This window comes from Homo sapiens, chromosome 4 (assembly GCF_000001405.40).
Source record: "Homo sapiens chromosome 4, GRCh38.p14 Primary Assembly".
In the NCBI taxonomy this organism is placed as follows: Eukaryota; Metazoa; Chordata; class Mammalia; order Primates; family Hominidae; genus Homo; species Homo sapiens.
Window position 1 is genome coordinate 119,236,427 of NC_000004.12, and position 13,887 is coordinate 119,250,313.

General features: G+C 35.2%; 1 protein-coding gene across 33 annotated transcripts in view; it reads left to right on the forward strand.

Moving 5' to 3' along the window:
* The window catches only part of USP53 (ubiquitin specific peptidase 53), an 82,918-nt gene that overhangs the window by 23,826 nt on the left and 45,205 nt on the right, over positions 1-13,887 (forward strand). For 26 of the 33 annotated variants that reach the window (XM_017008313.2, XM_047415829.1, XM_047415828.1 and 23 more), the window contains 3 exons: positions 2,792-3,477; positions 8,911-9,003; positions 12,322-12,456. In XM_017008313.2, coding sequence (XP_016863802.1) covers positions 3,334-3,477; positions 8,911-9,003; positions 12,322-12,456 — 372 coding nt within the window. In that variant the 5' untranslated portion in view covers positions 2,792-3,333. The remainder of the gene's footprint in view (positions 1-2,791; positions 3,478-8,910; positions 9,004-12,321; positions 12,457-13,887) is intronic. The other 7 variants (XM_047415833.1, NM_001389663.1, NM_001389667.1 and 4 more) reach the window with 1 other exon arrangement.

Here is a 13,887-nt window from a genome sequence, read left to right on the forward strand (position 1 = left end):
ACAATGAAGTTTGCCACATTGACTCTTCCTTTCACCAAAGATTCCTCTGTAGCATGTGACACTGTTTGATAGCATATTCCCCACCACAGATCTTCTTTCAGAACTGGGGTGGAACCCTGGCACTGCAGTAATGGTTCTAAACCCTTTGTTGTCATTTCAACAATGTGCACAGCATCTTCACCAGAAGTTGATTTCATCTCAAGAAACCACTTTCTTTGCTCAGCCGTAAGAAGCAATTCCCCTGTTCAAGTTTTATCATGAGATTGCAGCAATTCAGTCACATCTTCACACTCCACTTATAATTTTAGTTCTCTTGCTGTTTACATCCAGTTACTTTCTCCACTGAAGTCTTGAGCCCCTCAGAGTCATTCATAAGTGTTGGAATCATTAACCAAATATCCTGGTAATGTTGATATTTTGCCCTCCTCTTGTGAATCCTGATTGTTCTTTATGGCATCTAGAATGGTGAATCCTTTTCAGAAGGTTTTCAGTTTACTTTGCCCAGTTCCATCAGAGGAATCTCTTTCTGTGGCAGCTGTGGCCTTATGAAATGTGTTTCTTAAATAATGGGACTTTAAAGTCAAAATTACTCCTTGATTCATGAGCTGCAGAATGGTTATTGCAGGGATGAAAGCAACATTAATCTCTTTGTACATCACCATCAGAAATCTTGGGTAACCAGGGGCATTGTCAATAAACAGTAATATTTTGAAAGGAATATTTTCTGAGCAGTAGGTCTTCAACTGTGAGCTTAAAATATTCAGTAAACCATGCTGTAAACAGATGTGCTGTCATCCAGGCTTTGTTGTTCCATTTGTAGAATACAGTCAGTCTAGATTTATCATGATTTTTAAGGCCCTAGAATTTTCAGAATGGTAAGTGAGCATTGGCTTCAACTTGAAGTCAACAACTGCATTATGTCCTAATAAGAGAGTCAGCCTGTGGCCAGAAAGGTGGCCGCCCCCTCGCCCGTCACGCAATGCATGTTCGTGGGGAACCTGGTGCTAAACTATTCATAGATGACCTGCTTCTGGGTCGGGGTTTTGTATGTAGCAGAGCGGCTCCCTCGCTGCTATCTATTGAAAGTCAGCCCTCGACACAAGTGTTTGAAAAAATTAAAAAATAATTAAAAAAAAAAAAGACAGAATCAGCCTGTCCTTTGAAGCTTTGAAGCCAGGCATTGACTTCTTTCTGACTGTGAATGTCCTAGATGGCATCTTCTTCCATCTGTCAATATCACTGTCAGTCTTCAACTGTTTCTTCCACAGATGACAGTCTTCATCTGTCAAACAGTTGATGACTGTTTCTTCAACACTGAAAATCTGTTAATTAGTGTAGCCACTTTCATTAGTTATCTTAGCTAGATTTCTGGATAATTTGCTGTAGCTTCTCCATCAGCATTTGCTGACTCACCTTGTATTTTTATGTTATGGAGATGGCATCTTTCCTTAAACCTCCTGAATCAACCTCTGCTAGCTTCCTACTTTTCTTTAGCTTCCTCACCCTCTTTTTCTCAGCTTTCGTAGAATTAAAGAGCGTTAGGGCCTTGCTCTGGATTGGGCTTTGGCTTAAAGGAATGTTGTAACTGGTTGGATCTTCTATCCAGACCACTCAAATTTTCTCACTATCAGCAATAAGGGAGTTTCACTTTCTTATCATTCAGGTGTTTATTTGAGTAACACTTTTAATTTCCTTCAAGAGCTTTCCCTTTGCATTCACAACTTGGGTTACTTACTGCTTGATGTAGGAAGCCTACCTTTCTGCCTGTCTCAACTTTCAACATGCCTTCCTCACCAAGCTTAGTCATTTCCAGCTTTTGACTGAAAATGAGAGACATGCGACTCCTTTTACTTGAACACCTAGGGGCCATTGTAGGGTTATGAACTGACGTCATTTCAGTACTGCTGCATCTCAGGGAGTAGGGAGGCCTGAGGAAAAGAGAGAGTTGGGGAAACAGATGGTCAGTGGAGCAGTCAGAATACACACATTCATGGATTATGCTTGCTATCGTATATGGGAGTGGTTCATATTGCCTGAAAACAATTACAATGGAAACATCAAAGATAACTTATCACAGATCAGCATAACAGATACAGTAATAATGAAAAAGAATTACTGAAGTGTGACATAGACATGAAGTGGGCATATGCTGTTGGGAAAATGGTGCTGGTAGATTGGCTTGCTACAGGGTTGACACACACCTTCAGTTTGTTAAAAAGGCAGTATATCTGCAAAGAGCGATAAAGTAAAATGCTATAAAACAAAGTATTCTTGCATTTGTTTGTTTTTAATTCATAGGTTTAACATTTAAAGTCCTTTTAATCAGGAGTGTGCGTTTGTTGATACCATGGAAATTTAATTCACCAAGATTTATTTATGACTTAAAGGTTTCTTTTGAATAATTATACATATCCATTTACATAAAATCTGTCTTTTTTTGGAAAAATATGATTCTATGTAAGAAGGATAACAATATATTCTAGAGCAATTTAGTGTTGACAGATACAGCATACCAGCTGAAATATAATTTATTCTAGATTTTTGGATAATATTTTCCTTAGGAAACCATCTTTTGAACATTGAGCTTAAGGTAGGTAGGGATTGATGTCACATTGATATTTTAAAAATGTAAATGATGAAATTTTTAAAAATTTATATTAGAATGCTATCAGTTCTAATCCTTTTTATGACGAGTTTTAATTCTATATTCAATATTTGTGTTCAAATGGTAAAGTTAAGAATTTTCTTATTTGCATTTGCTTTTATTTAAACTTTTTTTTCTTTTTTGTAGATTTGCTTTGAGGTCACATTGATATGAAATATGGAGTCACCTTTTATAACTTCACCTGGGAAAGAGAGAGAAAACTTTCTTGTTAAAAAAACATAAGGAAAACAAACAACCAAAGGAATCATGCCAAATGCCAACTCTACATCTTTTTGTATTATTAACATATTTTATGCATCAAGACAAATGGCTTATGCATTAAAGGGGATGATTCGTTCATCAGTATTTTTAGCCATTAAAAAAAATCGTTTTCATATTAACCTTATACAGCTCCCATAAAATTTAACACATATAAACATCTTTAACGCCTTGTTTAAAATAGCTTTCTTTTTTAGTGCTTAGAACTTCAATGTTTATGCACCCTATTGTTACTTGTCAGAGTCTTTAAGAGTTTATAACATCAGGAAAGATATGGACTTGGAAACTTACATTATTAAAATAGACTGCAGTGGATTTAATTGGACAATTCAAGACATCCATTTTATTGTCCAAAATATTACATAAAAGTGTACAGTTTTTAGCCTAAATGCAAACAAAGTTGCTTGAAAATGGCATGGGTAAAATTCTTACGGAAACCTGGTGGCAATCTTGGAAAAGTTTATCAGCCTGGAAGTATGCTATCACTAGCCCCTACCAAAGGCTTGTTAAATGAACCAGGACAAAACAGCTGCTTTCTTAATAGCGCTGTACAGGTGAGACCATAATTACTTATTACATTAAAAAAAATACTTTTCAGAAAATCCTTTGTTTAATGCTTCTTTAGCTCATAAATTAAAAATAAAGTTACTATAGACTAGAATGACTTTTTAATATAACTTTAAATGGGAGCAAAAGTGTTTTGGCTGGTCATTTTGGTTTTTATAATAAATGAAAATGGTTTTTTTCAACAGACTGATGTATCACTATGATATAAATAATCTTATTTAAAAGGTTTATTTAGTAAATTAAGGACATTTTTCTAACATACACAAATGTTTTGGTTTTAATCAGCTAACACCCCTCCCTTTGAAAAAACATCCAGTATATGGATCCCTGTAGATAGAATAAAAAGACATAAGCTGCTTGTATTGAGATAAGAATGCAGAGTTTTTGATTTCAGTACTCAAACTCCCTTCACCTCCCACTGTGGTGTTTAAATTACCTCTGCGGAATCATCATTTGGGCTCCACTGTTTTGGTTAAATTGAAGGATAATCCATTTTGCCTCAATCCTTGTTGAAAATCTTAATTAACCTGCTTTTCTGCCTTAGATAACTATACTTTCTTATGCTTAATAAAGTTTTTATTCAGCAGTTATAGATTTTATAGATCCTGTGTCCTTCTGACCATTGTAGAGTACTAAAGATGAGGAAGATTTAGAATACTGATAACTTTTTCTATTGACCTTAGAATATACCTTAAAAGAATTCATATATAATGATTCACTTTTCATATGCATTGTTTTTTCTTTTGAAAACTAATAGAGAAAAATATTGTGTTGATTAGCTCATCTGACAAATAAACACATGTAGAATGTGTCAAGTGCACAGATATCTGACTCAGAGCTGTATTCTCAGTTGCCTTCTACCTGAGACAGATGCCAAACTTGAACGTTCTCTAACTCACCCAGCGAAAGAGAAGCAGTTGGTATTAAGAAAGCATTTATTCTAATTTACTTTAGGACACTTAAATGCTAGTGTTCTGCCCTGGCTCAAAGATCCCACTGACATTACTGTGACAAATGCAGAAAAATATTTATTCAGTGGCACTGGATATAGTGAAATATTAGATACCAAAAGACCTGGAATTAAATGCTTTTGATAGAATCAGGCTGTGAGAAAGCGTTTCTGGCATTTCAGATATTTTTCTGTTTACCCTTTTTCCTATTCTTTTTACCTTTTATGTTTTCCCCTCTGTTTCTGTCCTTTTCATTAGCACCCAAAATACTATGTATAGTTCAGAGAAACAAAACGCATATTAGAACGGGTGAAAATTTTGAGTAAGGAAACTTACATGGATCAAAACATTGAGAAGTATTCCTATGGTGATGTATTTTTTTTAAGAATGAACATTCTGCTGACATTTACCATGAAGACTGTTTACTTATACATATCTGCATATTTGCCATTTCTGGTGCTCATCACTTTTTTGCATAGATCCACATTCCATCTGATATCCTTTTCTATTGCTTGAAGGATCTTTCTTGTAATACAGGTTTATTGGTGATGAATTCTTTCAGCTTTTGTATGTCTGAAAAAGATCTGTATTTCACCTTTATTTTTGAAAGATATTTTCACTCATTAAAGATGGTCCAAGTTGACATTTTTTCTTTCAGTACTTTAAAGATTTTGCTTCTCTGTTTTAGCTTGCATTATTCTAATGAAAAATCTAATATTCTGATCTTTGTTTCTCTGTATGTAATTTGTTCTTTTTCTCTGGGTGCTTTTAAGATTTTCTCCTTATCATTGGCTTGAAGCAATTTAATGATGTTTCTTGATATAGGTTTCTTCATGTTTCTTGTGTTTGGGTTTGTTGAGTGTCTTGGGTCTGTGCGTTTTGGATTTAAATCAAATTTGGAAACACTTTGTTATTTCTTCAAATAATTTTTCTGTCTCTTCCCTCCTTTGGGGTTTTCCAGTTACATATGTAGTGAGTTGCCTGAAGTTTTCCAGTTGTTCCACAGCTTACTGATGCTCTCTTTATTTTCTTTCTCAGTCTTTTTTTCTCTTTGTGTTTTACTTTGTGTGGTTTCTGTTACTCCATTTTCAAGTTCATTAATCTTTTCCTTTGCATTGCCTATCTGCTATTAATCCCATCCAGTGTATTTTTTGTCTTAGACATTGTAGTTTTCACTTTGAGAAGTTTTATCTTGGTCTTCTTAAAATCTCTTTCATGTCTTTACTTAGCATTTGCTAGTCTGTTGAACATGTGAAGTATAGTTGTAATAATTGTTTTTATGTACTTGTCTGCTAATTCTGTTATTTGTATAAATACTGGGTACATTTCAGTTACTTTTTTTGTTGTTGTTGTTGGATGTCAGACAAGGTTTACCTTGTCAGGTTATGGATATTTTTATATTCCCTAAAAATAATCTAGAAGTTTGTTCTGGGACAGAGTTTATTTATTTGGAAGCAGTTTGATCATTTTACTTTTAAACTTTGTTAGGCGGGACAGAGCTATGCTTATTCTTTGGTTAATTTCTCTGCTATTGAGACTCCTTTTTCAACCATTGCTCTGTGAATTATGAAGTTTTCTACTTTGGCTGCAGGAATAGGCACCATCTTGGGCCTGTGAGCTCTGGGCACTATTCCCTCTAATCCTTTTGGGTGTTTCTTTCCCAGGCCTCAGACAGTTTCCTCATAGTACACCCCCAAATACTGGAGGAGGATCCTCTACTGATCCCTGATGTTAACTCTCTGTGCAGCTCTCTGCAGTACTCTGCCCTGCCAACTCTAGCAGCTTTGGGGGATCTGTTGGTCTCTGTTGTCTGCCATATAAACTCATTTACATGGCTAATTCTCCCTGACAAAACAACTATTCAAATAGATTTTCTATGAGATAAGACCTTTCTTTTTGAAAATTCAGAATACAAATGTTGATTTGCAATTCGATGAATACATTTTCAAAAATGCTGAGAAATAAATTGTAGAATATGTCTTGTAAGAATTTACTAAACACAGACATTAAAATGTTTAGATCTGATATAAGACACAAAAATGAATTTACATGCCATTTCTTATTAATATTTAAGCTATTTCTTACATTATTTTCAAGTAAAGAATGTATGATGAAAGGTTTGTATTTAATGTGTGTATAGATATGTATTGATCTTTTGGGAATAATATAAGAAATATGTATAAATATTCAAAAATAACTACATTAATTTTGTTAGGCACCATTTAAATTGCTACATGCAAATAACGAAAAAGTGTATATTGCTAGAAACTAATTAGTTCAATAACTATCTTAAACCTTAATTTTTTAAAATAAGTGATAGAATATAATCAACATTTTAAAATGAAATGGGACCAGGAACAGTGGCTTACACCTGTAATCCTAGCACTTTGGGAGGCCAAGGTGGGTGGATCACTTGAGGCCAGGAGTTTGAGACCAGCTTAGCGAACATGGTGAAACCCCGTCTCTACCAAAAATAAAAAAATTAGCTGGGCGTGGTGGCAGGCACCTGTAGTTCCAGCTACTCAGGAGGCTGAGACACAAGAATTGCTTGAACCCAGGAGGTGGAGGTTGCAGTGAGCCAAGATAGCACCATCACACTCCAGCTTGGGCAACAAAGCAAGACTCCATCTAAAAAATAAATAAATAAAAATAAAATAAAATGGATGAAGATTAACTATAATTAGGATAATTATTTTGTGATAGCGATTTGTTAAAGTAGCCTTTACAGTATTGTGTTAAAGACAATAATGTACAGGGAACTTGAAATAAATCACATAAAACATTTTATCTGTAGTTTGATCCAGTGTAACTCAGAGTTTTCGTAATCATAGAAAACATTCTGGTTACATTTGGAAGACTTCACTAAACTTTATAAACAGATTATAGAGGGTATTTTAGCTGAATATTTTAAACTTTTACCTAATGCAAAAACAGTACAATTAGGTATAACATTAGTGTGATTTTAATGTCTGAGAAGGAAAGTTATTTAATACTATACTATTTAATAGCTCACATTTATTGTGTTCTTACTGCTTGTTTCAACATTGCATATGTCACCTAATTTAATCCTTACAACAGCCCTAAGAGGTAAGTACTACATTTGTCTTTATTTTACTGTTGAGAAAACTGAGTCCCAGAAAATATTTTGCCTGAGTCAGTCCAGGATTTGGTAAATAGTAAACCCAGAATTAGAAACCAGACACCTGCCTTCAGATGTTTTTTATTAACCTCAGTGGTACATTGCTTCTAAAGTTGTGCTGTCATTAATCATCTTCTTTCTTGGTAAAATGGATTTCCGTGTATTTTTTAAAATATGCTAGGATATGATACTCAAGAAAGTTATTAAACATCATCAAGTGCTTTGCAAAAACACTGAGTTATCTGTGACAGAAAAATGGATCCTATTCATTATGCTTTAATAAAAGGCAACGTTTAAAGAGAAATTTTGAAATGACCTTTAGTTGTGGAGTAGTTGAAAATATAGGAAATATTAAAGCCAGTTTGTTTTTATTAACTTTTTGTTTTTATTTGGGAGAAAGGAGAGATCATGAATAGATTTTCTTAGTTACGTTATCTGAGGACACGACTAAAAGAGAAATTTGAAGATCTTATTTGTTTGTTGTAATAGTAGTAACAGCCACAAATAGCAGCTGGTACTCATTGCATGCCAGTTGAGTACCATACCCTGCTCTAGAAACATTACATATTATTTAATCCTTACAAGAACTCTATGAGACACAAGTACTATTCTTATCCTCATTGTCTAGAATTCAGGTTTTTCAGAATGATTTTAAGTATTGGACTGATTTGTTTTGACAGTTGCCGTCTTTGGGTTTGGTTTGTCTTTGTCTTTGCTTTGTCTTTGTCTTTTAGTAGCAGAAGATAAGTGGATAATTGCATCAAGTATATACTTAGGTAATTTATTAATGGCTGCTGCTTACTATGCTGTACCCCCATTACCACACAGGCCCCCTTTCTTGTTCCATGTACAGTGACCACATACACCTCTGCTCACCCCTTTTTCTTGCCATAATGTGCAGACCCCAATTTAGTACACTCTGGCTTTAAAGTCTAATTATATTTCCTTTCAAAATTTCAGTTTGTTCCAAGTATTATAATCACTTCCTCTTTCATGTCTCTGCCAACTTCTCTATTTAGTATTCCTTGTTTCCTGTTCAGACCAAATCCTTAATGAGGAGTTGGTTTTTCCCTGCTCCATGCTTGTCATAGTTTTTCATGTGCACCATTAAGAGTATCTTCTGAATCCAACTTTTATATATGCACAACATGCATGTAGCAATTTTATACTTGCTGTTATTTCCAGTGGTTATGTGTGTCTGATTATGTACAGGCAATTAAAAGAAGTTACTTGTTCGCCTTTTGCAATTTGTAAAATATCTAAATCTGTCTTTTGTTACAGTAAGAAAAATTTGTTTATTTCTTTTTCCTTAACATCTCCCTGTTTTTTAGGTTTTATGGCAATTGGATATATTCCGACGAAGCTTGCGGGTTTTGACTGGACATGTTTGTCAGGGAGATGCCTGTATATTTTGTGCATTGAAGGTAACCTTTTAATAGCTCTGAAAAACTACTATCAATTGTTCCTTCAAAAATTTAAGTTTGATATATTGGGTCAGTTTGTTGTAACTAAAGTTCACTGTCAGGTGATTAACAGTTTTGAAGATGAATTCTTAACAGTATGACTTATTCAGGTTTGTGTTTTCATTTTCCTCTTTTATATAAGGACAGTTAAAAATTAATATTCTAAGTAGTATAAAATTGTTAGGAACATTATCTTTTTCATTATTTTGCAATTATTCTTATTCATTTTAACAAATGTTTTTGGAGCTACTACTGAGTTCTGGGTACCAGTGTAGTTACTGAGGATACAGCAGTGAACAAAACTGATAAAAATCCCTCTTCTCATAGAGCTTGTATTCTTATAGAGGAGGAGACAATAATAAGAAAGCAAAATATTATAGAGTATGTTAGATGGTAATAGTTGTAACATTGGAAAAATACATCAGGGAAAGAAAATAGGGAGTGTTGTATAGGCAGGAAAGCCTCACTGAGAAACTGATATTTGAAATGACACCTTGAAGAGCCTTCCAGGTAGACAAAGAAACAGCAACTGCAAAGGCCTTGAGGTATGAGTATACCTGATATATTTAAGGAACACCAAGGAAATATGGGTGGCGATGGCAGGAGCTTTATGAGCAAGGAAGAGAGTGGTAGAAGGTGAGCTCTGAGGTGAGGGTAGCCGAGGTGGCTTTAAAACATGTCTGTGGATGCTTTTGCATGCTTCCTTATCCAAAATCTAATTCCTTGAATATAGGCTGGCCTTAATGACTGATTTCTGTCAAATAGACTATGGCAGAACTGAGGCTGCAAGCAAGATATCTGAGGTTAGGTTAGTTTAGAAAAGGTGATATAACTCTCACCCACCTCTGTCTCTTGAGTTGCTCATTCTTGGAAGTGAGCCACCATGATGAGGAAGCCAGGTGGCCATGCGGCAAGACCACGTGGAGACATTCTGGACACAGCTAGAGCTGAGTTCCCAGCCCACAGCCAGCATCAACTGCCAGACATGAAAGAGCGACCCTCAGATATTCCAGGTCCCAGCATTCAAACTGTCCAAAATGACTTCGAGTGGAGCAGAGACATGCTGTCCCCACCCAAATTGCAGATTTATGTAACTAAATTTTGGGGGTGGTTTATTTACAGAGCAATAAATAACTATAACAGGGGTTTAGATTGTGTAGGGCCTTATAGGCCTCTGTAAGGATCGTGGCTTTTTCTCTGAGTGATTTAGGGAGATGGGGCATTGTTTTGAGTGGAAGAGTGATACAGTCTGTTTTAACCAGATATAATATTTGAACTAGATCCCTGTGGCTGCTCTGCTGAGGAAAATAGAAGGAAGACAAAGAAACAGAGCATCCAGTATATATTAGCAACTCATTCGTGTCACTGAAATGTTTTGCCAGAGAACTTAAGATTTTGTTATACATTTTAGAGATAAATGTTTCATTTTTTTACATTCTTGAATATTCATAATGAACACATACACATAGACACACAGAATTTTTTTTTTTTAATGTATGTGCCTTAATTTCATTATGTTCCTGAAAAGGCTGTTTGAGTAAATCACCAAAGGAAGAAATTTTATATTCTCTTTTTTTAAGAACATGGCCAAATAGGGTTATTGTTAGGACATGAAGAATGAACCTAGATCACATTACAGTATCACATTTTATTTATTCCACAGTAAATTTTGAATGTTTTGTCTAATTGTAAAACCTAGGATTATTAATTTCCTAGACCAACTCTCTTGTAGCCCTGCACAGTCACCTGCCTCTTTCCTGTGCTTGCCTTCCTCTCCTCCCCTGTCAAAAACACACATAAACACATTGCATTTTAGCCAAACTGGGCTCTATTTCTCAGAGCTGATCCCCACCTCAAAGTCTTCTCATTGTTATTCCTTTTGTCTGGAATGCTTTTCTTCCAGATGTCCTCATGGCTAACACCCTTATTTCCTTTATGCCTCTCCTCAAATGTTACTTTTCCATTAGTGAGGCCTTCCCCGACTACCCTAGGTAAAAGGTAAGCTGCTTCCATCTGTAATATCCCTGGCATTCCTATCCCCGTTACACTGCTTTATTTTTCTCTCTTGTATCTATTTTTCTCTACTGTACTTATCACATTCTGATGTTATATAATTACTTCTTTGCCTTCTCATTACTATAACTAGAATATAGGCTCCATGTGGGCAGGGTTGTCATCCATTTTTCTAGGGTAGAACAATGCCTAACATATACGAGGGAGGCAAAAAATATATGTTGAATCAATGAGTGACAGTCTCGCATAGGATTAAAAATCTTAAACATTACCTGGAAGTTAATTGCCTAAATAAGAGATAAAATCTGAAAGTTATTTTTCATCTTTTACTATTCATAATTTTAGCTACTATAATGGCTAAAATAATTATAGTTCTGGGTATCTAATATCAGATGACATCTGTTTTTTTATTTCTTATTTTATTTATAAATTGTATTTTTTTGCTGTAGTGAAACAGATTTGTGAAATGTTTTCTTTGTATGTTGATCTTAAAAAAATATTTTTTTTTTGAGATGACATGACCCTTTGAGCTAACATGGGACTGAATGTGACCAATACTACTTTGGTGGGCTGTCATTGAAAACTTTTCTTTCTTCCATGTAAGATGATTGTCATAAAATTGGAATTTATTAAAATGTTTTTTCTTGCTTAAGTTTAATAAGGAAAATTGAAAATCATATTAACAACTATAATCTCATATTTCCAGTTTCTTAGGTTTAGATTAGAAACTGAATGATGTTTCCAGTTTCTTAATTTAGATTAGAAATACAGGTTGGGTATCTCTTGTCTGAAATGCTCAGGACCAGCAGTGTCCTCTGAGGGTGGGACCTGGGAACCCTATATGTTTAATTCTTGTGTCTGCTAACATTTGATTTAGAGGCTGGTGCAAACATTTCTACACTTGATGATACAAATAATTAATTTTTGTATGAAATTTTAGAGCAAAAGACTTCTGTATTATTTTCCGAAATACAGGTTGGGTATCTCTTGTCTGAAATGCTCAGGACCAGCAGTGTCCTCTGAGGGTGGGACCTGGGAACCCTACATGTTTAATTCTTGTGTCTGCTAACATTTGATTTAGAGGCTGGTGCAAACATTTCTACACTTGATGATACAAATAATTAATTTTTGTATGAAATTTTAGAGCAAAAGACTTCTGTATTATTTTCCAAGTATAGTGTTTTGAGTTTCTCTGTGTTGTAATGAAATTACTGAAATGTCGTTAAAGCTGGCATTAAACTTACTGATTTTCTTGTCGATTCCCAGACGATATTTGCACAGTTCCAACACAGTCGAGAAAAAGCACTTCCCTCAGATAACATAAGGCATGCTCTTGCAGAAAGTTTCAAAGATGAGCAGCGATTTCAACTTGGCCTTATGGATGATGCTGCGGAGTGCTTTGTAAGTGTTTCTGATATTCCTTAAGAAGTCAGGATAGTAGTTTTCATTCCTTAGATGGTACAAGTGTTGAGACAAATGAAACAAAAATTTAGAACAATAGAAAAATGTCAAAACTGTCCAGTAGATCCATATCTTACCCATCCTTCAAGCCTCAACTTCAATCCATCTGTGTTTTGTGTTGTACTTTTGGTTTTGATTATTTTTGTTGCTCTAATTTTTACTCTTAGGCTACTAAAATGTTTTAAAACTTAGTTGGAGCAATAAGCTTTGCTGAATATAAATGATATCACTTAAATCAGTGTTCTGCCACTATAGGGACCACATATGCAGCACATTCCCAGCAGTAATAGTTATCATTGCATGCAATGATTCTCACTGGGAGAGAAGGGGATTTTGGTGGGATTTTGGTGGGTAACAGGGGCAACAGCCTGTTACACACATTCCAGGTTGAAAATCACTGAGGTTGATGTTCTCAGGCTCTGTGTTACCACCATATTAGTAAGTAGAGCATTCCTTTGATCAGGTACATACTTTATACATGTAAAATAGGTATGTTAATTATTAAATGTCTCATTAATATTGATGTCACCTATAATTAAGTTGTAACCATTTCTTCTCTCTTCTTTCTGTTTCTAGTCAGCAAAGTTTGTAAATTCTTTCATCAGAAACCCTTTCAGAAGTTTTTTCTTTCCGTATTAATTCCCTACCACAACTTCTTCCAGTTCAGTATATTTAAGCCTCCTATTGGTGTCCATTCAACCTGTTTATTTATGTCCTATTTTTTTTTTTTTTTTTTTTTTGAGACAGAGTCTCGGTCTGTCACCCAGGCTGGGGTGCAGTGGTGTGATCTCGGCTCACTGCAAGCTCCACCTCCTGGGTTCACACCATTCTCCTGCCTTAGCCTCCTGAGTAGCTGGGACTACAGGTGCCCGCCACCATGCCCGGCTAATTTTTTGTATTTTTAGTGGAGACAGGGTTTCACTGTGTTAGCCAGGATGGTCTCGATCTCCTGACCTCGTGATCTGCCTGCCTCAGCCTCCCAAAGTGCTGGGATTACAGGCGTGAGCCACTGCGACTGGCCTTATGTCCTATTTTTTAAATAACCACCATATCAATATGATTTTATTCAGGTTAACGCTTACTCTTCAAATATTTCTGTGATTTAAATCTAGACTTTTTATTCTGATATTTAAGGCCCTTTAGATTAAACTCCACCTTCCCTCAGTGCTTCATCCCTAGATTTTTCTTCCTAGTGAGATTATTCCATTCTGTTCCTCACATATATTTTTATATTCTTGTTTATAGTCCTTATTTATAAGGCTGTTCTACTAGCAGCCTTTGCTCAAGTTCCTGAAATACTCAAAACTTTAAAAATCTATCATTTTGTCAAGGTTCAGACTAAGTCTATGCCTACCAGATAACACATGACCA